The sequence below is a fragment of the Homo sapiens genome, chromosome 11 (assembly GCF_000001405.40).
Source record: "Homo sapiens chromosome 11, GRCh38.p14 Primary Assembly".
In the NCBI taxonomy this organism is placed as follows: domain Eukaryota; kingdom Metazoa; phylum Chordata; class Mammalia; order Primates; family Hominidae; genus Homo; species Homo sapiens.
This window is the reverse complement of record NC_000011.10, coordinates 58,708,517-58,732,147: the sequence shown is the minus strand read 5'-3', so window position 1 is coordinate 58,732,147 and position 23,631 is coordinate 58,708,517. Positions and strand designations below refer to the sequence as shown.

Sequence of the window (23,631 nt, the reverse complement as noted above, 5' to 3'; positions counted from 1 at the left end):
AAGCATTGTGATGTTTTAAAAAGAGAAGCTCAGGGGCATACAGCCAGCCTCTCAACCATGCAGAGCCAATTACTTCAACATGGGCCCGTGAGAGGCAGGGCTGAATTCCACTAGAACTGACACCAGATTCTTTTGCCAGCCTAGTACAAGGTCCACATTACAAGCCAAAGCTCAGAAATTTCTGGAGGTGGTGTATCAAAATTTACTCTGCGAGACTCTGCTGAACTGGCTGCATCAGGGAGAAATTTCATCTCCCAGAAGGGTGTTGCTCATCGTTTCTTCCCGGAAACATCTGCAGAGACTAGCTTTTCAGGTGAGGACTCATTACAAAGTATCAGATACATAGGATGAACAAGTCTAGAGATCTAATGTACAACATGAGAACTATAGTTAATAGAATTGCATTGTATATGGGATCCATGCTACATGAGTGGAGTTTAGCTGCTCTTTACATAAAAACAACGACAAAAAATAAGTAACTATGTGAAGTAATAGATATATTAATTTGCTTCATAATGGTAATGTTTTCACTATCTGTATGCTCTCATAACATCATATTGTATACTTTAAATATCCACAATAAAATTTATTTTTTTAATGTAATTATTGCTTTGTGACACCTCTTCCACTTAAGTGAGTCAAATTAAAGTGCCCGTATTGTGTTATGCTCAGAATATGCAGACAACTATGCTCAAGGAAAAGGAGTAACTTCCACTTAAGAAACACATATCTGACAACTATTTTGTCAATGGCAGTTTGCTAGCTACCATGAAAATCCTTAGAAGTTTGTGCTCTCGACTAATAAATGAATAAAGAAAGATCTGAGAGCTTCTTGGAAGCAGGTGGATGAATAGAATACTGAGTGTGTGGAGACACCAGAAAAATTACTATTTTTAATCCTGGTCACATTATAAGGGAGGCAGTTTTTTCCTTACACTACTACTAAGAAGTTTGTTGCACTGAAAGTGAGAGAGGAAATAAGTAGATCAATAAGACAAGAATACAGACAAGATTTATTGTTTATTTAAATTATACAGAAAACAAATTTTACTCTAAAGATTTAATCTACAACAGTACTACCACCATTTACTTATTTATTCCTGTTTGCCTTTGTTCTCTCTTAAATTTGAACTTTATGTGTTGTATGTGAACTGTTTTGTGTCCTATATTTTCTCATTTTATTTGAACACTCTCCCATGTGTCTATACATATTATATATTATGTCTGTAGGCATTATGTTAATGCCTTAGGGTTGCATCACTCTGTTGGAACATATTTTATGTTATCTTCCCCTATTGAGGCACATAGAGATTTTGTTCAGACTTGCTTATGTTCATGTGACTTTATAAAATTCTGTTTAGAGTTTTTGTTTTGTTTTGTATTTAGAGACACTCTGTTACCCAGACTGGAGTGCAGTGGTATGAACATAACTCATTGTAACCTTTAACTTGCTGTGGGCTCAAGTGAGTCCAGGGTTAGATTCCACTGGAACTGACATCAGAATTTTTTGCCAACTTAGTACAAGGTCTGCATTACAAGCTGCAACTCAGAAATTTCTGGAAGAGTTGTAACAAAACTCACTCTGTGAGACTGTGGTCAGATTATGTAGGCATAATCTTCCTCTCCTTCCCATTCAAGTAGCTGCAGTAAAAGCAAGGTAGTGGGAAAGATCTGAATGAGGTCTGATTTGCAGAATGTATTCTTTTTTTCTGCTTACACAAAACAGCAAATTACTTGCATGGCATGATGAAAACTATTAGAATCGTCCCACCTTAGCCTCTTGAGTAGCTAGGGCTACAGGTGTGTGTCACCATACCCAACTAATTTTTATTTTTGTAGAGATTGGGGTCTTGCTGTGTTGACCAGGCTGGTCTCAAGCTTTTGCCCTCAATTAATCCTCCCTCCTTGGCCTCTGAAAGTGCTGGAATTACAGGTGCAAGCCACCATGCTCAGCCTAGAGTTGTTTTCTTCTTTTAAATTGTTTTCTTTAGATTAATTTCCATTTCTGTAATAACTGGACCAGGATCAAAGATTCTGAAGTTTATGCCCGGGAATGCTACTCATTGCCCAGTGCTGCCAGCTACCATTATTGTGTCAGATTTCTTGGAAGAACCTCAGTGTCAGTAGCTTTCAGTTTACCCCAACCAAGCATGAGAGCCATACCTCTTTGTTAGTTTGTAAGTACATCCTTAGAGGGTGGTTCCAAACTCTACTCTTCAGAAAATATAGTAATATCACACCCCACAGACTTGACATTAAGCTCTACTTTAACTCTACTTTGTTACTTCCTTCTGAGTTGCATCTAGAGAAAAGACAAGATTAGCCTTTAGGAATGTTATACTTTTATCATCCTAAGACCCTTAGATATGAGATATGGTCTGGAGTTTTCTTCAAGATATAATGTAGTACAAAATAGCTGGAAACTTTTCTCATGTCCAGAATATATTATGCATTTAATACATATGTGTTTATTGAATGAATATATTAATGTCTCTATACTTTTGGAAAGTGGAGTGATTAGACAGACAATTAATACAAGCATTTCATGTATTCAATCATTCGTTACTTATGTATTGAGGGCCTACTCTGTGCCAAATACTGTGATAAGAATTACTGATAAAAGAATAAGTAATATGAGCATCCTGCCTCAGAAGAATTCAACATCTAGAAAAGAAAACGAAATTCAACTTTAAAACATCATGTTGAACAGCATAAATATATACGATATTTATCAATTGAAAGAAGAAAACTTTAACCCAACATAACAAGTTATATAATTAAAATATGCATAAACACTTATGAGAGCACAGAAAAGGGAGTGACTTATTCAGACGGACGTAAGAGACAGTGAAAAGAGCACTAGGGATAACAGGCTATTCGGGTAAACTTGAAGGGGTAAGTGGAAGCCTAATTTAGAAGGCAGAACTGAAGTAGGAAATTTCAAACTGAGAATAAATGTAGAAAGACCAGAGGTGCTAAGCAGACACTGTGTTGAAGAAATCCACTGTGGTCTTACATGGTGGATGGTAGCAACAGAAGAGGCTAGAAGGGTAGACTAGACTCAGATGGTAGAGGTAGAATCCATGGGCTAAGGTATTAAGGTAGTTTCTTTTTATATATGCTCAGATCAGTAATTAGCCAGACTCTAGGAACTTCCTTCCTTCCTTTCTTCCTTCCTTCCTTTCTTTTCTTTTATTCTCTCCTTCCTTCCTTCCTTCCTTCCTTCCTTCCTTCCTTCCTTCCTTCCTTCCTTCCTTCTTTCTTTCTTTCTTTCTTTCTTTCTTTCTTTCTTTCTTCTTTCTTTCCTTTTTTTCTTTTTCTTTTTCTTTCTCTCTCTCTCTCTCTCATCTCTCTGTTTACTCTCTCAACGAAGCTCCACCTTGGCCTCCTTAAGCTCCAAAACCTCCGTAAGCTCAATCAGTGACAGTCCTTGTGCTCTGGTTAGATTCCATATCCCTGAACTTCAACCTGAAAACTTCCATCAGTAAGTAAGCTGGTGCAATTCTAGGACTCACCTTTTCTGTTTTCCTTTTCTCAGAGATCATAGTTCTTTCTGCATATCCTGATGTTCAACATATGAAAATTGTTATTGTTTTAGGTGGAAAGGTAAATTCAAGTTCTGTTATCCTATCTTGGCTGGAAGCAATATTACTGGTAGTGAATTCTTATGGGTCTGCAGCAACCTCAATTCTCTCCTTAGAAGAAAGAATTCAACTGAGGGGCATAAGGTGGAAGGACAGACCAAGGCAAGTTTTAGAGCCACAGTGAAAGTTTTTTAAAAAGCTTTAGCCAGGCGCAGTGGCTCACGCCTGTAATCCCAGCACTTTGTGAGGCCCAGGTGGGCAGATCACAAGGTCAAGGGTTTGAGACCAGCCTGACAAACATGGTGAAACCCCATCTCTACTAAAAATACAAAAATTACTTGGGTGTGGTGTTGCGTGCCTGTAATCCCAGCTACTCAGGAATCTGAGGCAGGAAAATTGCTTGAACCTGGGAGGTGGAGGTTGCAGTGAGCCGAGATTGCACCACTGCACTCCAGTGTGGGTGACAGAGCAAGACTGTGACTCAAAAAAAAAAAAAAAAAAAAAAAAAAAGCTTTAGAGCAAGAAGGAAAAGAACTAAAGTGCACTTGGAAACTTGGAAGAGGGCAAAGTGGGTGACCTGAGAGACCAAGTGAGTAGTTTGAACTTTTGCCTTGGGGTTTTATATGTTGGCTTATTTCTGGGCTCTTGTGTCCATTCTCCCTTGATTCTTCCCTTGTGGTGGGTTGTCCACATGTGCAGTGGTCTGCTAGAACTTGAGAGGTGAGCATGTGCAGTGTGTTTACTGGAATTGTATGCATGCTCACTTAAGGTGTTCTTCCCTTACCAATCAAATATCCCTAGAAGGTCACATACCAATTAAACTTCACCTTTTTGTCTCTGAATGCACATGCTTGAGCCCACTTGCCCAGCTCCTGAGATCTTATCAGGAAGCTGCTGATCACCAGTTTTAGGTTCTCTGTCTACTGAGAGACTACCTGATAGGTGGCTTGTGGGAGTGGGAAGGACCTTCGGGTCTGCACTAAGCAGACGTAATGAACTAATGGCCCTCCTGAACAGGAGGTTTGTGAGAGTGATAGGGCTAAAGCCTAAAACTGCAATGCCTGGGATTTCCTCTGCTTTTTCAACTAAAAATGGCTCTTTCACAAGAAGCTGCACCCTGTATCTCCTGTTTTCTCTGTGTGATCTGAAATTGTCTTGCACACCTACCAAACTGTCTGGCTTGAAGACAAGTCTGCCTCTTCTTTTACTTCACATGCCATGTGACTTCTTAAACACACACTTCCTGTTATTCATGCACCCATGGCTCTTATTGCATTTGTGCAGCAGCAAAGATAAGAGCTCCCTTGCAGACATCCCCCAAAATTTATAGGTGTTTTTATCCTACAAGCTTGGATGACCTCCAATCCTGTCCCTATCTGTTGGTACATTGCCAAAAAAGACACTAATTGAAACCCCAGCTCTGCCAGTGCTTTATGATTTAACATATGCTTTTTGTTCCTGTCACAACCTAGGGCCAAGTTTTTCTGGGGTTTTTGAAACAGTTTGTCCTCCTGCATAGGGCTATGACACTTTAAGGATCTCACCTACTTGCTTTTTTCTTTTTTTTTTGAGTCAGCACTTCTTAAGGGGAGGGGAAATTCTTCCTTTACCATTAGCAAGTTCTTGCCCTAAGTCCCAAGGCCTCCAGAGGTTCCTCCTTTATGTCGAGGGCAAATAAACATTGCTCTCTCAAATCCAAGCATTGCTGTTTTTGTAAGCATATGAAGGCTTTTCATGAGGTTTTTCTCGCTTCCTCCTACTTCCTCCTGTAGTCTCCATTTCTCTAATCACTCCTACTCCCTTTTCAATATGCTGCAAGACCTTCAAGGTCATATTTAAAGGGAGGGAAGTCCAGCCCCCTTATGGCAGTTATTTTCTTTGTAATACTTGGCCTAAGAATGGAATGAGAGAAAATTACAAAAGTCAATCTTGGAACCCAGTACCCTTATGCAGGAAATTCTCAAATTAGCCTTCTCAGTCTTTTATAATGAAGAACAGAATAAGGAGGACAGGGCTAAGAAAAAGTAGAAATGCAGGGACCAGAGGCAGGTATATTGTCTTCTCAATACTCAAGAGTCACCCTTCTACAGGGGACCCCTAGGCTGCCCATCAGTGAGACATGACAGAATTGAAATCCTCCCCCTGTCCCCCTTGAACCTGGCTGGCTACTACTGCCCTGACAGCTAGCAAGAGGCCAAATCCACAGAACAACCACTACTACCCCTCTGTCAGCAGGAAGCAGTTATAGAAGACTGACCTTTGTCTATATTCCCCAAATAATTGGGGTCTTGAACTCATGGTGGGGGAAATGTTACACAAGGTAGATAGTCAGGCATGAGTAGGGCAGGAGAAGGCTCCATGCCCCACATCCCACACCCAGATATGTCAGGCAACCATCAGGTGATGGTCCAGTGGTTGTTAACTGTCTCTCTAAAATAATAATTGGTCACAGCCAGTGCCAGCCAGGTTCAGTCTCCGAATACAAAAAAAAACCAAACCTGAAAATGGTGATCAGCAGCTTCCTGACAAGACCTCAGGAGTTGGGCAAGCAGGCTTAAGCATGTGCATTCAGAGGCAAAATGACAGAGTTTAATTATGATATGAACTTCTAGGGACATTTGACTGGTAAGGGAGAATGCCTTAAGTTAGCATGCATACAACTCTATGCTCACACTACACATGCTCACCTCCCACATGCTAGCAGGCTGCTGAACATGTGGACAGCCCACCCCCATGGGAAGAATCAGGGGAGAATGGACACAAGACCCCAAAATTATGCCTACATATAAAACTCAGTCAAAAGGTCCAACTGCACACTTGATCTCTCAGGTCGCCCACTTGGCCCCCTTCCAAATGCACTTTACTTCTTTTCCCTCCTGCTCTGATGTTTTTAACAAACATTTACTGCTACCCCAAAACTTGCCTTGGTCTCTCCTTCTGCCTTCTGCCCCTCAGTCAAATTCTTTCTGTTGAGGAGGCAAGAATTGAGGATGCTACAGACCTGTACAGATGCACCACCAGTAAAGGCTTTTCACTGATGTTCTAAAATCACAAGGTTACCTAGTTATGGAATCTTGCATCAGACCAGTTTTAATGCAACACTCTCTCATAGCCCTACCTTCACTTAGAAGTTACTTTGCTCTCTTCCAAACATCACAGTTCCAAAATAGAACACAGTGACACAACATCTTTCTTCATTTTTCAGGTAGTTGTGATGTTATGAAGTGTTTAGGTAATCCCAATTTGATGCAGCTAGTCAAATATGTAAAAATGCTATTTTTGTATTACTTAGTAATTTCTACAAAATGTACCACAGATCCTAGTATAAGGCTTAAAGATGGAATTAGCCTCAAAGTGTGAGGCTTGGTGAAAGTACAAGTTTTGAATATGATGCAGTAATAATTTTTGAAAGGTTAATTGTTTATATTTAGACCATGTCAGAATGCCCTTTATTAAAATGCCTATATCAAAACATCATGCAATATATAGGACTTTGGCTCAAGTGGGGGAAAGAAGAAAAGGAAGAGGAGGAAAAGAGGAGTGGTGGTAGTAATCAAATAAATAACAAATGTTCAGTGCTTAATATAAGACCTACAATCTACTAAGCACATTGCAGGTATTCATTCCTTTAATCCTTACAAAAATTCTGAGTGATATAGTGCTATTATCCCAACTACCTTTGAGGAAACCAAGGTACAGAGAGACTAAATAACTTTCCCAAGGTTACACAGCTCGTTCTCAGAGGAGTCAGGAGAATCACTAATAGCAACTAAAATTCAAAAGATATTATGTGTATTTAAAAATGTACTTTTTAAATCTAAAATGAAATTAATGGCTGGAATTCATCAAAGGGTAAGAAAAAAGAGCTAAAAAACTCAGAGAAAGCTCCTTGTGTTTTCTACGAGTCTCATTTTCTCTTGGATTTGCTGAGGACTGCAGTTGAAAGGCACTAAAAAAAAAAAACCTGGTCATTAATAAAGAACTTGCTACTCTTGTTTCAGAATCTCCTCTAGCTTTTCTCAATCCTGTATGTTCCTTGGTTGTCTTTCTAGGCTAAGGTATCCTCCATGATGTTACCATTGCAAGGTGCCCAGATGCTGCAGATGCTGGAGAAATCCTTGAGGAAGAGCCTCCCAGCATCCTTAAAGGTGATAATGGAAAATTCTGAGAGGAGTAAAGAAGACAAACTTGATGTGAAAGAGGAGGGAAAGGGACTGATATTTATGATGCACCTATTTTGAGCCAGGCACTATTTCATGTTTTCTCTCATTTAGTATGCCTTACCTCTCTACAAGATGTTTACTGTCATGTCCATGTTGCTGTTAAGAAAATGAAGACTCAGTTAACTGATTTTCTCAATATATCACAAATACTGAGTTGCAATGCTATGATATGAACATAGTTATGCCTTAGTCTAAACACTGCCTTTTGCTCTGTGCTAACTCAAAAAATTACTTCCTTGCTCCTTTCCAAGAAGCATTTTATAATAACATTTGAAATTTGCCCAGAGTTCTACAAAGTTGGCTGAGGCTGCATATTAATGTTTAACTTGTTTATTACAAAAGGACACTTGCCAGTGAGAGGTTAACTAGAATGAGTCTTCTTTGAAATTAATAACAGATCAATTTCTATTTTAATGTAAATTTCCCAATTGCTCTGAATTGAAGGCAGGTCGAGTTACTTTAGGGCTAGCTCCCAGTATCTCTCTTAACCTGGTATTAATAATTAGAGGTCTAAGAATTAAATAAAACAAATATAAATATATATATATAAATGGATATATATAAATGCCTACATCCAGAACTATGCAAGAGCAGTTCCAATGATAGAGTCAGATTCTTGTCTGTATGTATATATTTAGCAACCAAATGGATATGGCTCACTCCAATGGAACCCAAGTACAATTGTTCATGTATATGTGTGTGTGTATCTCTTTAGTGGACAATTATTTTTACATTTGTATTGTTTTAGAAGACATTCCTATATAGTGCATACATTTCAGGTAAATACATTCAAATTACCCATTCCCTAAATGATTTGTTATTCCCTTCTTTCAGTATAAAGGAGAAAATATTAGCATTCTTTTATTTGTGATTATATAGTTTTATTTTCATTCATCAGAGATGCATTGAGACAACAAGCTTTATTCTTTATTTATTAACAACACAGTATAGCTTCAAGTAAACTAATCCAAATCTAAAGTTACCCACCTTGAAGCTCCTACTAACATTAATCAAAATTACCTAATATTTAAGTGGCTTCACATGACAATCCTTAAGATATAAATAACCTCCCAGAGAGACAGAACATTTTTTTTGGAAGGCATATTAGTTAAGACACTGTATGTATAATTAGTTGAGGTATTTTTATGATTAGTGGCTACTCTTAAAAATTCTCTAGGCTAAACATTTTGTTCAACACTCTGTGATGTAGAATTTTGTGCTTCAAATTTCTCCTTATTCCTTGTGTTAAGTGGATCCTAAACATTTTGAGAAAACTCTAGGTGTTTCCCAAGGATTCCTTCTTGGGACCCCTCTATGGTGAGATAAGGAGGCCCTCATGACTCCTCCCTTTCATGAGGAAATAGCATTCCTCCTCTTTTGTTGTATACTAAAAGACATACATTTTCCCCTAATGGAACTCTAAAATTTTTTATGCCAGTTGCTTTTAATGGAGGTGTCTAACCTAGAATTCACTGTTACTCAACAATTACTTGAGGCCTAGTTAAGAAAATGTCCATCCATTCTTCTGAGTGTTAGATATAAAATGCATAAAGATGTCCACTACAACTGATTCAACTGATAACAGCTGCCTCGCTATGTTCTGTTCACTAGTGTGAAAGGAAAATATCTTGGGCCCCCAAAATCACTAAAGAAAACTCAAGCTGGAAACTGCTTAGGGCAAACTTGCCTCCCATTCTATTTATTCAAAGTTGCTAAGATAGATGCATATCTGATTGCCTCTTTGGAAAGGCTAATCAGAAACTCAAAAGAATGAATTGTTTGTCTCACATATCTGTGACCTGAAAGCTTTCTCCCTGCTTCAAGTCTTCCTGCCATTGCTTCAAAATGTCCCTTCTTCAATATGTCCCACCTTTCCAAACCGAACCAAAGTACTTCTTACATATATTGATCGAGGCCTCATATCTCCCTAAAATATATAAAACCAAGTGTGCCCTGACCACCTTGGGCACATGGCATCAGAACTTCCTGAGGCTGTGTCAGTGGCACATCCTCAACCTTGGCAAAGTGAACTTTCTAAATTAACTGAGACCTGTCTCTGATTTTTGGGGTTTAGATTTTGGTAACCATGGGAGCATTCTGAGTGGAGATGCCCCTGACCTTTGACAAATCTCCTATCGGTGCTTGGTACCAGTATGGCTGACTTTATGGCTCAAACTAATAGGACAATTTGCTGAGGTCTGTGAGCATCCCCTCCAGAGAATCCCTGATCTCCCCAAATTTGGTCAAATTATTAAGTTTATTTATTCCTAATTAGATGGGGAGGAAGGTCTCTTTGAAGAGGAACCTCTACTTTACTTTTTACACAACTAAAGTTAGCATTTAACAACTACCTGGTGTTAATTTCTGCTTACACTTACGGTGCTCAGAAATCATGTAATTTGGGTGATCATTGTTAGTTTTGCTTAACTTTTTTGTTCTTTGTATTTTTCTTGGACAAATTGAAAGGAGAACTCTAAATTATGAGGAACAAGACCTCTGATGTGGGAGGAAAATGGCTAGCAAAAGAGAAAAAAAAAAGATTTTGAATTTTAACTACTAAAGGGGCTTTATTTACATTATAAGGTCACCTTTTTGCCAGCCAGACCAAACTGAAAGAGCAATGGCTGTACTTCTGAAAAAGCAGCATTTGGTCCTAACTGAAATATGGTAATAAGATTTTTTTAAAAAAATTAAGGAGCTCAATTGTTAAAAGTCAGCTTAATTAAAAGGCTAACATCCAAGATGTATGTGTGTATGTGTTCATGTGTGCATGTTTGTATTTGAAGGCCTTCATGTTTTTATTTTTGTTTCTTTTTCTCTCCTAAGACCTTGTCTATTTTCGAGCAAAAGTTTTTTTGTTTTGTTTTGTTTTCCTTCTCAGTTGACTGAATTCTGTTTTCACCTGATTTTTTTTTAACTAAAATAGTTATTGCAACAAAGGCTACGTGGTTATTTAAGAAAAAAATGAAGTTTAATTTTATTTTTAATTTGGCTAAAAGAAAAATAAAAACATCTCCTTCTATCATCACCAGACTTTTTCTCTCTGTACCTTATGTTGTAAATTTTACTATTTGATTTTCACCTGAGTTGTTTCCTTTAATGTGCAAATTTAAGGCTATTTTTCTGACAGCTGCCTAGGGTTTTGAAACAGGTTACCAAGAATCTGAAATTCTAAGATAGAAAAAAAAAGTGGGGTGATCTTTATAAATCTATAAAATGTACTTCCGTTGGCATGCCTAATTCATCTTTATATGTATTTATGTATTGTATACAAAATATTTCACTACTAAAAATATATAAAGTGTTCTAATTAATTGACTTAAAGAAAAAACAAAAGTGCTTAAATGCGATACTAAAAAAGAAAAGACTATTAAAATCCTTTTTCAAGTTTATGTAACTTAAATAAAATCTTTAATAAATAAGCTAGCTTTAAAATTTTTGGTAAAGTAATAGTAGAAATGTCTTAAGAATTACCAGCATACATTTTGTTTGCATTTATTAATCAAGCAAATTTCATACTTATCCCTGCCAAATACTATAAGTTGTCAATGTTTGGCATACAGGTTACATAACTATGAACCCAGCCCCAAACAGGATAATCATTGCTTGTGTAATTTTTAATAAATAATGCATTGATATGGGTTTAATGAAAATAGCTGCATCTTTAATTTAGTAAGATCACCATAACTTCTAATCCTGTGGGTTTAGGCAGTCTGGTCCACAGTCAATAAGGAGGTTTGTTTGGGGAAAAGACTGTTATCCTCTTTGTTTCAAAGCTAAACTATAAACCAAGTTCCTCCCAAAGTTAGTTAGGCCTACGTCCAGGAATGAATGAGGACAGCTTGGACGTTAAAAGCCAGATGGAGTCAGTTAGGTCAAATCCGTTTTCACTGTCTCAGTTATAATCTTGCAATGTCAGTTTTATAACTTTAAATCATGAATATCACAGTTTTCATAAATAATCCAGGTAAACAATTAAAATAATTGGGGTAATGTAATTGGATAAATATTTGTAGGCAAATTGGTCATAATTTAGAGTATGAAATTATATTAAATTAAATAATAGACATTTCATTATTTGGGTATCTTCCCATAAAAATATATTGTAGGAAAATATTCTTGCTAAAAAATAAACAAAACTGTGTGTGTGTTTTTTAAAGAGGTGAACAAGTTTTTTTCCAATTCAAAGCTTATTTAAAGGTTATGTATAAAACAAGGTAAAAGGGACTAGGACTAAAAAAAGATATGAAAAAGCTATTTTTAACAAAGGTTTTTTTAGGTAAAAAAGCTTAAAGAGAAATAATTTTATATAAGACAGAATCTTGTGTGGTAAATTTAATCCTAAACTAAAATAAGTGGTTGTTTAAAAAAGAGGGATGTTCAGGACAAACCAGAAATTCCAAGCATGTCATGAACAGTCGGTGTAAGTCACAATAAGAGGATTTCTATATTTAAAAAGTTTATATGATCAAGTTATCATATTAAGTTTTCATTTGCTTAGAAAAAAACTGAGATAAAATTTTTTAATTAAGATTATTACATCCATGTATCTTCCTGTATATGCTTTTAAAGTCCTTCTAACATTGAATCACAGAGCTTTAACTCCTGCATCTATAAAGCATACCAAGTCCTGCTAAATTTTAAACACTGACAGCAATTAAAGCCTCATCTTCAGGCCCTGTAGAAAATGCCAATCAAAATAAACTGCCTTCCTGAGACACAGGGCAATAAATTAAAGCTACTCAACTCCTCAAGGCCCAGGGACTATCATGGAGGAGTTGGGCATGTAAGAGTGTAATGCCTGATTTTGAAAGATAAAATAAGTTTCATTTCTCCGTAAATTAATCATTAATGTCAAAGGAACACTGATGAAAAACCAGCATATAGACCCCTGTGGCAGATTAACAAGGCTCTCTTGAAGCATTAACCAACTCTTTAATAAAGGTTATAAGAGGCTTAAGGAAGTTACATTTTATAATATAGATTAAATTTTATAGATTGTTTACAAATTTTGAAAAACAAATGTAATTAGCTTCATGCTGTTTTTATTGGGGCTTCTTGTTTAGAAAATTAAATTTCCTTTCTCAAAAAATGAAGGTTTTCACTGTTTTTTGAAGTCTTTGACTTTCACTTTAGTTAAATAAATGACTTTAAAATGACCTATAATCCTATTTTGTAATTTCAAGTGTTTTAAACTTACATTTGACAACTTTCCAAAATTGAACTATAAATTATGTCTTTTTCTGACCTGATTAATTCTTTAAGACAGTAGGTTCCCCTAAGTACAAAAATGACACAATTTGGCTTATTTGGTATAAAAATTATACAGAAGGCATTGCCAAATATGAATTGGTGTTTGGTTTTCTTTGGGCTGTCTTTGTATAAATATGTTATTGGTATGTGTTCCAAAATTATGGGAAACTCCTGTAATTATAATATAATTTAGTATACATTATCAATAATAATCATATTGTGTGCCACAGAGGTAATAAATTTTCTTGTCAATTGTATCTTTTGACAATGGCTGCCTTAAACCTTTTTTTAATCCATGGAAAATTATTGTCTTGTTTTGGTCATCTTTAGAAGGTGGTTTTATAATCAGCTATAAAACTCCAACAGGTGCTCTTAAATGTGGGTTTCTGATACTGTGTGCCACAGAAGTAATAAATTTTCTTGTCAATTGTGTCTTTTGACTATGGCTGCCTTAAACCTTTTTTTCATCCATGGAAAATTGTTGCCTTGTGTTGGTCCTCTTTAGAAGGTGGTTTTATAATCAGCTATAAAACTCCAACAGGTACTCTTAAATGCAGGTTTCTGATAACTTTGGAGATTGTGACATCAGAATAGAGAAAAAACTTTCAGGACTCATAGAGAGATAAAATGTTAATGAGTATCAAGCAAAATAGGAATTAACTACATGGACTGAACCAATCTTTTTCACATTTTACTTAAAATGTTTGCTGATCCTTTGATTTTCAGTCTTAAAACTTTTCTTTTGAGCTATTGACAGCTTTTAACAATTTAGTATACTCCTATGAACAAACTTTGGAGCATGTTTGTTTCTCTCTACCTCACTTCTCCAGAATTTGGAAATTGTGAGTATTCTTAACTTATGGTAATACATTTATTTGCATAAGTGCAATAAGAATCTGTTTTCATTTGTAACAGGAAACAATTGGAGAAACTGGTTATTTTACTAAGGCTTTAACTGCTTTCCTTTAAGAAATCAAACTTGACTTCTGGAGCCAATAAAGCCCTTGAAAAAAATGTCCATATATTTTGTGTACACAGTCCCTGTACAGGATTTCTGACTGTGGTAAATAAAGAATGTCACTTTCTAACAGACACAGAAGCCCCAGATTTAACATGGAACCTCAAGAGGAGAAGAAATTCATCCAACTCATAGGTATTTGATGGCACAAATTCATGGCTAGGTTTTGCTATAAAAAGTCTTATCTGAGACTCCTCCTATGGAACAAAGTTTCATCAAAGCCAATTTAAAAGCCTATTTAAAAAATAATTATTCTTGCTGCACTGTATACAAATAATTAGGCCAAGTATAATAAAGCAAACCAGTCCTACCATAATTTGTTTTTAGTAAAAATGGGAAACTGGAGAGAGAAAAAGACTATATTTCAAGACTATAGTACACCTGTTGTTAGATTCTAGTCTCGCCTAATGTTATTTTTCAATTTTTATTATTTTCTACAATTTGAACTGAATTCTATTTTTCTTGGCTACAAGTCTTCAAAATAATGTTTTAAATTTATTTTTCTTCTTTTTTTTTCATTTTTCCTAATTTGAAATAACTGAAAACTAAGCTGTGCTTTCTTAAAACCCTGAAAACTGAAGCCAAACAACTTAAACTTCAGAAAAAAATAACAGCAACCTGTTTACATACATAAGCCACTTTCATACCTGCCTATTAATGTATGGATTTTAGAATAATGTGGCCTATATCTATTTTTCCAGGATTGTTCTTTTGTTTGTTGTTGTTTTTTCTCCCTTTCACCCTATTTTCTCTTCATAGGACATGAGACTTCACAACATGCTAAAAATGAGATTTTGGGACCTACCCATCTAGAAATAAACTGTCCTAGCCGTAAGACATTAAATGAAACCTGAGACCAGAGACTCATTTTATTGTTAAATGCTTTCTCCAAAAGATTTTACAAAAAGGATGGGGGGCATATAAAAGGAAAATATCTTGGGCCCCCCCAAATCCCTAAAGAAAACCCAACCTGGAAACTGCTTTGGGTAAACTTGTCTCCCATTCTATTCAAAGTTACTAAGAAAGATGTATATCTGATTGCCTCCTTTGGAAAGGCTAATCAGAAACTCAAAATAACACAACCATTTGTGTCTCACCTATCTGTGACCTGAAAGCTTCTTCCCCACTTCAAGTATTCATGCCCTTGCTTCAAGAAGTCCCACTTTTCCAAACTGAACCAGTGTACTTCTTACATATATTGATTGAGGTATCATATCTCCCTAAAATGTAGAAAACCAAGCTGTGCCCAGCCACCTTGGGCATGTGTCGTCAGGACTTCCCAAGGCTGTTTCACGGGTGTGCACTCAATCTTGGCAAAATAAACTTTCTAAATTAACTGAGACCTGTCTTAGATTTTCTGGGTTCACACTAGGTTTGGGGTCCAGTAGGACTAAAAAGGATTTTAATAAATTAGGCCACAACAATGAGAAAAAATAAGAGTTTCACATATTTTCATTTTTGCAATGGATAATATTATAGTGTAAATACATTTTAATAGGCCCCAGGTACAAATGTGTAAAAATGTAACCACTATATTTTGCCAAAACTGTACTAAATTTCTATATTAAGCCTCCACTCATGGCTGAAAACAGAATTAATTCAGATAAACTCAGACTTAGTCGATTTAGAGTTTTTTTCACCTTCATTCCCTAGTCTAACATCAGTATTTCATGTGGGGTAGGGGCAGCAGGAGGGAAATATACTGGTATGGTTCTATCATCTATCCTTGATGGAAAGCATTCAAGTGCACAGCACCTTTTTGGTGTATTTCCATGCTGATATCAGCTGAAACTTCATGTTCACAATGGTCACGAGATCTATGCTGACATCCACTACTGCATACCACAACCCCAAAATCATAAGGACACTTACTGTCTGTGGGGTTTACTCTCACTCATTCTCACCTCCTACCCTCTCTTTCACCCCTCTCTCTCATTAGTTTGTCCAACAGGGCAAGGGTGGGGATCTAAGAATGGACCCAGGCTAGGGGACCCCAAGCTTATTCTCTTGAGCAATAGGCTATAGTCTCTGCTGACTGATAAGAATTCAGTTAAGCTCTCCAGAGAGTTATATGGAAACAATGCTAAAGAGTTTTAAACATGTATATAGCCTTTAAACCAGCAATTACTCTTCTGGATATTGTAAGAAAATGGTAGGTACCCATGCAAAGATTCCTGTGAAAGAACATTCTATAAAGAATTATTTATTTGAGTGAAAAGTTGAAAACAGCTGAGATGTCATCAACTGGCAAGTGATTAACTGTGATGCATCCATGTAATGAAATTTTATTCAGCCATTAAAAGTAATTGAAAATTATTTTGTATGCTTGTGAATAGAGAAATAGGTACACAATATGTTCAATGATGAAAAATAGCAAATATCAGTAATTTTATTATTGAACAAAAATCTGTTTAATCTAAAGGCTCTGATGGACAAGTGGCCTGATTTTAATACAGTGGTTGTCTGCCCTCTGTGTACAGATTAAAAAATAGCACACAGAGATTCTTTGACTTAGATTCTCCATTTGGCTACTTTGTATCATAAAATGTCATGATTTTATAGAAATAATTTTTGTCCTAATCAAGCAAGAAACTTTACTGTTTTTTTCAAATAAACCAACCCTGTCAATTTCTTGGGATCCTGCAGGTTTATGGAACTGTCTTTCACATAAACCATGGAAATCCATTCAATCTGAAGGCTGTGGTGGACAAGTGGCCTGATTTTAATACAGTGGTTGTCTGCCCTCAGGAGCAGGTAAGTTTCCATGTGTGAATATTCTTCTATATTTATATTAGCTGTGTGCCTATTACATTCTTAGCAATATGGTAGAGCCAGGGCATGCAGAAGTAAATCATAGTAATAGTCAACAAGTCCCCATCCTCAAGAAGCTCGGAGTCTGAAAGACAAGATAGATCAACCAATAAAGTGTGAAGTATACAAGAACAGAAGATAAACAGGATACAGAAAGAGGCCAAATAAAACTTGATTAAACTATGGAAGTCAAAGGTGGGGCTACCCGATAAGTTCAGTATACTTCTTGGTGGAGATTTCATCTGAACTGGATTTTGTAGGAAAAATATGCTTTTGTCAGGATTACAAGGAAAAGTGGACATTCTAAGCAGAGAAAATAGCAAGAGCACAGATATAAAGTTGTAAAAAAAAGGACAATGAGTTAGAGTGACTATTGTTTTAGTCCGTTCTCATGCTACTAATAAAGACATATGTGAGACAGGGTAATTTATCAAGGAAAGACGTTTAATTGACTCATAGTTCAGCATGGCTGGGAAGGCCTCGGGAAACTTACAGTCCTGACAGAAGGGGAAGCAAACACGACCTTCTTCACATGGTGGCAGGAGAAAGAATGACAGTCAAGCAAATGGGGAAGCCCCTTATAAAACCATCAGATCTCATGAAAACTTACTATCACAAAGACACGGTGGGGGAAACCACCCCAATGATTCAATTGTCTCCATCTGGTCCCTCTCATTACACGTGGGGATTATGAGAACTATAATTCAAGGTGAGATTTGGGTGGGGACACAGCCAAACCATATCAACTATGAAAAGCAAAACTATAATGATAGAACTTCTATACACATTTGAGGAAACACTTAAAATTATTGAAACTAAACAATTAACACATTTCAAGATAAAAATGCATAAGCTTATTTCAAAACATCAGAAAACACAAATATACTTTTAATGCTAATAAAGTTATTTAAAAATCACTTTGTTGTGAGAACACTTAAAATCTACTCTCTCAGCAATTTTCAAGAATACAATACATTGTTATTAACTATAGTCACCGAGTTGTACAATATGTCTCTTGAACTTATTCCTCCTATTATAACTATTATAACTGAAGTTTCATATCTTTTGACTAACAACTACCCAATTCCTCTACTTTCCCCCACCTTACCTGCTGATAACTACCATTCTACTCTCTACTTCTATGAGTTCACCATTTTTACATTCTACATACAAAGGAGATCATGAGGTATCTGCCTGTGTTTGGCTTATTTCACTAAGTATAATGTCCTCCAGGTTCAACATAGGGGAAGCAATATGTATGCTAATTACCCTGATTTAGCCATTTCAAAATGTATACATATTTCAACACAACATATTGTTAATAAATATATGCAATCATTTATTTGCCAATCAAAATAAAAAAATAAACAATATATGAAATGAATAAATTTATGGTATGAAAACTAAACTGAAATAAAATTATTTGATCTTTTATTAAATGTGGTCTTAAGCAACAAAATGTGTCAGTGGTATCATTGCTGACTTGTGAGTGGGTTTTTTGTGCAACATTTTCCAACTTTTTAAAAAGTTTTTTAATTCTATAATAGTTGTGGTAATATTTTCATCCACCTTCTTCCTGTAAATAATTGTATCTGTCATTTACTAATTTGAGAAGCTCTTTCCGTGTAAGTGGATTGTTTGTTTCTCTGGAACTGCAACTGGTTTAACCAACATATTTTTTAAAGAAGGCATTTTGAATTAGTTTTTAATCTTCTTTGGTATCAATATCAAGTTTCATACTGCCATGGTCATAGTTTGTGTATTCTGCAAGTCTTTGAACTGTAGTAAAATTTATTCTTGTGACATAAGCTTTCCCTTGTCAATTGCCTTTCTCTTCTTCCTGTTGAGGATGATGGTGGTAAGAAGAATGCTTTCTAAATGGTTATGTCTTTTATTTGAAATTTTAACGTGATATGTGGATAATGAATAGTATTGTTCTGGAATTTTCCAACATAAATTGAATATTTGATCTTTATCTCATTATTTAAAGAATTCAGAAATAATTATATGCATACAAACCCACAGTTAGATAAAGGAAATAAGTTCTAATGTTTAACATAGGATGACTATAGTTAACAGCAATGTATTGTATATTTCAAAGTAGATTGAAGGAGGACTTGAAATGTTCTCAACACATGGAAATAATAATTATTCTGGATGATGAAAACTATGACTTGATCATTAAACATTCTATGCACATAACAAAATATTACACATTTTTTACAAATATTATGTATCAATAAAAAAGAAATAATTGTGATACACCAATAAAACTACCAATATTTTATTACTTAGAAATATCACAGTATAAAATTATATGTAATCATAAAATATAAGGATGTGTTTTATTTCCTTTTTCCTAATGATAACAGGATATGACAGATGACCTTGATCACTATACCAATACTTACCAAATCTACTCCAAAGATCCCCAAAACTGTCAGGAATTCCTTGGATCACCAGAACTCATCAACTGGAAACAGCATTTACAGATTCAAAGTAAGTAAGAGGAATGGGATGTGTGCTGACTCACTTATGTGTCCTGAGCAAGTTTTCATATGACTTATACCTCCTTCCTCCAAGCTCCAGACTCCCAGCCTGCTGTCAATTTTGTTACTGTGTGGTAACTATATCTGTAAAAGGTGGTGGACAGCGTGGGAAACCCTAAAATTTGCAAAGAATGGGCTTCATAAAGGGAACTATAGTATAATTCCTTGGTACCAAGGATTTATGACATATTTTGCAGCTGTATCCAGACCTTTTAGGGTGATTGGATGCTGAAGAAGAGCCTTCCCTCTGGACTTCTATTCCTGTAATAAAAATGATAGCTTATTTGGCCATAGAATACTTCCCAGGTCACCAAGAACAACTATCATGGTTCCAACTATGCTCTCTGGAGATTCTCTAGGATGGCATTTGCCTATTACTTGCTGTATAATCTTAGTTAAGTGATTTAATCTCTCTGAGATTATGTTCCTCATATATAAAAATGAGGAAAATAATGTTACCTAAAACACAAGGCACTGAAAAGATTAAATGAAAGTGACTAGGAAGTGCTTAGCATAATACTTAGACATATTAGTTAATGTTTGCTGCATAGCAAACCTAATAATTCTGTGAATCAACCATTTGGGCTGAGCTTTGCAAGGCAGTTCTTCCACTGGTCTTATCTGGGTTTACTCATGTAGCTGTAGTTGATGGGTGGACCATGGCTGATTGCTCTTACACGGCCTCACTCACATGCCTGAATGAGAGTTCTGCTGTTAGTTCATGACAGCTGGTGACTGTGGTGACAGCATGATGGCAACATGTGTCGCTAGCAGGCTGGCCCAGGCCTATCTTAATGGTATTGGTCTTAACATAATTGGTCTTAACCAGGAGCAAAAACAAAGGGAAAGCCCCAATGGGGCAGGCACTTTTAAGCCTCTCCTTGCATTAAATTTGCTCTTTCCATTGATGAAAGATGGTCAATGTGGCCAAGGTAAGTTGCAGCAGAGGAGGGGACTATCTGGGGAATGGATTCCAGGAGATATGTGCAAATCATGGGTCATTGCCTCATATTATTACACTAGGAATGTAGCTTAGTAGATGTTACCTACCGTTTTTTAAATTTACCTACTAGGATTATCAAAATTGCTACACAATTACGCAGCCCAGAAAACTTGGTTCCAGTGCAGATACTGCTGTTAATAACACAATCATAACTGAATCCATCCCTAAGCATGTTTTTGCTTAGGTAAAACAGAAAAAATTACACAAATCCTTACTGTTTGAAATGCTTCTTCCCCAGTGCTGTAAAGAAATAGCACTTGAACATAAATTTAATTTCCTCAGTAAGGCCATTTTTACTTTCTGCAGAAAGGGTACACTCACCAGCAATTTTGCCATGAGAACTGAACAGAGGAGACAGGGTTATGTATAACCTGACATGTCCACCCTACTGTTGTGTCTGGTTTCCATTGGCTGGAACAGGGCCTCACATTCTGCATTTGTCCCAACTGGCTAGCAACTTAAAACCTTTTAAAAGAGATAAAGGCAGAGGAGAACAAAGGAAGGGGCAAGTAACTTGTGGAATGCTGAGAAAGGTAAAACATCTCCAAGTAAGGAAGAGGAACAGGCTATGGCCTAATGCTTGCTTGGACCAGTATAAGTATGCCAGGGTAAATATTTAGGCTAAACTGTGGGAGCTAAGAACACAAAGTACATTGATTTCTTTATTATCTTCTAGCAGTTATCTAAGAATGCTAGCACAGGTCTTTGAATAAATTTTGCTTCTAGAGGAAGTTACTATTGATTCTTAATTAGATGGGGAGGGAAGTCTTTTTGAAGAGGAATCTTCACTTTTTAAATTACTATTGACATGGGTCACACAGTGGTAGCACCAAGCCCAGAACCAAGATTTTATGATACTAAATCCCAGACACTTCTTACTCCACTGCAGAACTTCAGTCTAGAATATACCTAAACCATTTCATCTCTGTTTATTATACCGTCTAGGTTCACAGCCTAGCCTGAATGAGGCTATACAAAATCTTGCAGCCATTAAGTCCTTCAAAGTCAAACAAACACAACGCATTCTCTATATGGCAGCTGAAACAGCCAAGGAACTGACTCCTTTCCTGCTGAAATCAAAGATTTTATCTCCCAATGGTGGCAAACCCAAGGCCATGTGAGTTTGATAAAATCCAGTCTATACCACTCACACCTCTCAAGTAACCTCCCAACTTCTCTCCCTGCATTCACTCTGGCTTTCCTACAATCAATGTTGTACAAAGAAATCAGAATTACATTTTTAAAAAATGTAACTCAGAACATGTTTCTCTCCTGCTTAAAAGACTCCACCATCTCCCTTCTCATCTAGAATAAACCAGGCCTCTGGCTACCACTTGGACCTTTATTGCCCTTCCTGCTTTCTTCCTCCAACAGCTCTGACCTTCACTCTGTTCCTCTTTCATCACAAGCTCATCTATATTCCAGGACTTCACATTTGTTATTTCTTCTGTCTACTCTGTCTCTCAAGACAATAGAGGTCACAGCAAATACAAACCTTTATACTAATGGATTTTGTTTTCTTCTTGGACCCTCCATAGCAACCAAGAGATGTTTAAACTCTCATCCATGGATGTTACCCATGCTCACTTGGTGAATAAATTCTGGCATTTTGGTGGTAATGAGAGGAGCCAGAGATTCATTGAGCGCTGCATTCAGACCTTTCCCACCTGCTGTCTCCTGGGGCCTGAGGGGACCCCTGTGTGCTGGGATCTAATGGACCAGACTGGAGAGATGAGAATGGCAGGCACCTTGCCGGAATACCGGCTCCATGGCCTTGTGACGTATGTCATCTATTCCCACGCCCAGAAATTGGGCAAACTTGGGTTTCCTGTCTATTCTCATGTAGACTACAGCAATGAAGCTATGCAAAAAATGAGTTACACACTGCAACATGTTCCCATTCCCAGAAGCTGGAACCAGTGGAACTGTGTACCTCTGTGATGCCAATCCTGAACATAAGACAGTGTTGGGCAGGTCTGGGCGTATAATTTGAGGAGTGGATGGTGGATGAAAAGAAATAATAAATTGTAATCAGCAGTAAAGGAGTGGGCACTGTTTGGACTCTGGGGAAGCAGTGTGATGTTCAACAGCATCGCCATGGTCCCTGCATTCACAGGTTTCTCAGTGGGAAGCAGGCCCAGGTCCTCTTACATTTGACATAAGCAATTTACCTCCCCACATTTCCAGGACCTCTATGACACTTCATCAGATACATATTGCTCCAAATTACTTCTCCTGGAATCCCTGGTTCCTCAGTTGCAAGACCCTTGCCAGTTTTTCTGGGAGCTAGGAAGAGGTGAATTAAATTTTCTGAGCACTATGACTTCTTTCTTTCTAAAGCCTTTCCCTTATGATCAACAAGTGGACTCTCCTCAGCAGGTCTTTAGAGATTATCCTCTCCTGTTATTGCTACTTTATAGGTACATTAAATATACTGGACACAAATATATATGGGATATTAGGCTAAATACAGTATACATGATATAGCAGGGAATGTTACTAGAAGAAATATCAACTGATGATATCCTATCCTCTCCAAGCTCCTATTCCAGGAAAAAAGATCCAATGTTTTTTCTAAAGATGAGCTTCCAAAACCCACAACTCCTAAATAATACAGAAAGTTTTGTGTTTGACTGTATACAATTTTTATTGTGTTTGTTCAAGCTAAGTGGTTCATCATGGTGACAGCATGAAAGGAATGAGTGTATGAAAAGGTGAAGGTGGGAGCACCTTGACCCAGGGATGTGATGGTTTATTGAGGAGAGATAGGAGTTGAAGGGAGAGGAGACAGCATGAACACCTGCTTGTCCAATTAGCCTCAGCACATTACTAATCTCAGTTTGTTCCTGCTGTAACAAAATACCTGAGACTGGGTAATTCATAAATAACAGTCTGAACTTATTTGTTTATTTAAAATAATAATAAAATAATTAAAAATTTATTTATCACAGTTCTGGAGGCTGGAAGTCTAAAATCATGGTGCCAGCAGATTTGGTGTCTGTGAGAATCCAGTCCCTGCTTCCAAGGTGGTGCATTATTGCTGTGTTATTTGTAGGGGATGAACACTGTGTCCTCACATGGCAGAAAGACAGAAGAGCAAAAAGGAGCCCAGCTAATTTCCTCCAGTCCTTTTTCCTTCAGGCACAAATCCCATCCATAAGGGTGGACGTTCTTGTGGCCTAATTATCTC

The 23,631-nt window shown here is 36.7% G+C and overlaps 1 protein-coding gene across 3 annotated transcripts; it reads left to right on the top strand.

The window, feature by feature from the left end:
- The first annotated feature begins 204 nt into the window (after positions 1 to 204).
- On the top strand, positions 205 to 23,391 carry GLYAT (glycine-N-acyltransferase). 3 transcript variants are annotated; one of them, NM_201648.3, is made up of 6 exons: positions 205 to 313; positions 7,637 to 7,732; positions 16,725 to 16,832; positions 19,262 to 19,388; positions 21,387 to 21,558; positions 21,980 to 23,391. In NM_201648.3, exons 2-6 carry the CDS (start codon positions 7,652 to 7,654, stop codon positions 22,380 to 22,382), a joined length of 891 nt encoding a protein of 296 aa, NP_964011.2. In that variant the 5' UTR covers positions 205 to 313; positions 7,637 to 7,651; the 3' UTR covers positions 22,383 to 23,391. The 3 variants fall into 3 exon arrangements, with proteins under 3 accessions (NP_964011.2, NP_005829.3, XP_016872576.1); XM_017017087.1 differs by lacking the exon at positions 205 to 313 and adding an exon at positions 14,838 to 15,064 and having other exon boundaries at positions 7,661 to 7,732; NM_005838.4 differs by having other exon boundaries at positions 21,387 to 22,060.
- The last annotated feature ends 240 nt before the right edge of the window (positions 23,392 to 23,631 follow it).

What these genes read in the sequence shown, in the direction of transcription:
- GLYAT (NM_201648.3), top strand. Translation starts at nt 7,652, where the DNA reads ATGATGTTACCATTGCAAGGTGCCCAGATGCTGCAGATGCTGGAGAAA. An exon ending in GCCTCCCAGCATCCTTAAAG is followed by an intron (nt 7,733 to 16,724) that starts GTGATAATGGAA and finishes GGGATCCTGCAG; the next exon opens with GTTTATGGAACTGTCTTTCA. An exon ending in GGTGGCAAACCCAAGGCCAT is followed by an intron (nt 21,559 to 21,979) that starts GTGAGTTTGATA and finishes GACCCTCCATAG; the next exon opens with CAACCAAGAGATGTTTAAAC.